We start from the raw sequence: 1,604 nt of genomic DNA, 5'->3' as shown, positions 1-1,604 counted from the left end.
ACAACAGCCGATGAGTGCATAGAGGTCTGAGATATGGGCTTGTGATCCTGTGACTTTACTTCCCCAGAGAACTACAATTGTCATCTCACTTGTAGACACAAGGACAGTACATATTTGATGACTTAAAATTATTTTGGAAAAACTTTGTCTTCGTTTCCAATTACCAAAAAAAATGACAACTTTCTACCAAGCATCTTCAAAGACATGAAAATGGGAGAGGCTCTGTTTTTCCATGATCCCTGGAGGCAGATAGGGGCTCACATGGAGAGAACAGGACATGCCGAGTCTGAGACATGAGATACTGACAGCAAAGCACATGTCTCTTACCGGATTCCGTGCTTCCCTGAGATCTGCCTCTGCTGAAAATCTGACTGCAGTTAACCCCCAAATTCCTGAGCCAAACTATTAGTGAATTGTAAATAGATGGGACCACACAAAGAGCTTGAGAAGGAGGTGTCAACAGGTTACAGTGCAGAGAAGAACTTAAAGACAAATATTAAAATGAAAAATAGGGACAAAATTGTGTGATTCGATGCAAATTAACATTAAAATGTGGCTCATATATAGTCTAGGAATATGTATTTTTAGATACTTACGGAGATAGAGATGCTAAATTAAATAATATTCATAGAAAAAACAACATTTATTAAAGATTTGTTTTCCGCACAAGAGAGCACCAAATTTATATTGTCCAGAAGAAAATTTTACTCATGAACTAATTAATATACCAATACTCTTAAACTATTTAAAAGTTATAAAGTAACCAATCTTCCCAATCGTTTCCAGGAAGGATATAAAAGTGATATGGGCAGAGCTCAGCTGCGCGCCATGGCCGTGTTGCTGGCGGGGCTGGGCCCGGCAGGCAGGGTGGGCGCCTGGGTCCGGCCTTGCGCCACATGGCTCCTGGGCGCGACCACCCCCTGTGCCCCGCTGCCCCTGGCCCTGGCCCTGCTCCTGCCCAGGCCAGATGCCCGGCTGCTCCGCACAGCCGTGGGGACTGCCGCGGCAGCCAGGACCTCAGCCAGGCCACGGAGAGAACAGGCAGCAGCGTCAGCTGCACAGAGGAGAAAAAGCAAAGCAAGTCACAGCAACTGAAAAAGATTTTTCAAGAATATGACACTGTTGGCGTGTCGTTGTACACTGGAATCTCATTCATTTCCTTGGTCATATTTTACATGGTTGTGTCAAGTGGTGTGGACATGTCTGCAGTCCTGCTGAAACTCGGATTTAAAGAGTCCCTCGTACAGTCAAAAATGGCAGCAGGCACAAGTACCTTTGTGGTGGCCTATGCAATCCACAAGCTGTTTGCGCCAGTGAGAATCAGCATTACGTTAGTCTCTGTGCCCTTGATCGTCAGATAGTTTCGAAAAGTGGGATTTTTTAAAACCTCCAGCTGCAAAACCTTAATGAACTCTTCAGTCGTAGGCACTGAAAACCTATTTCTTCTAAATTACACAATTTGGATTGGTTTTAGGGTTGTAGGGTTTCTTTTGGAGGGGTAAGGGGCTAATTGCTATGTTCTCATGGATAAACTTTGCCAGCAAAAATCAGGCTTTTGAACAATTTTAATTTTTTTGCTTCACAAATTTTGTGAATGCTATTCA

General features: G+C 43.7%; 1 pseudogene; it reads left to right on the top strand.

Moving 5' to 3' along the window:
* On the top strand, positions 809–1,604 carry FAM210CP (family with sequence similarity 210 member C, pseudogene; annotated as a pseudogene).

This window comes from Homo sapiens, chromosome 10 (genome assembly GCF_000001405.40).
Source record: "Homo sapiens chromosome 10, GRCh38.p14 Primary Assembly".
Taxonomy (NCBI): Eukaryota; Metazoa; Chordata; class Mammalia; order Primates; family Hominidae; genus Homo; species Homo sapiens.
The sequence above is the reverse complement of the archived record's forward strand: the minus strand, read 5'-3'. Positions and strand labels throughout refer to the sequence as shown.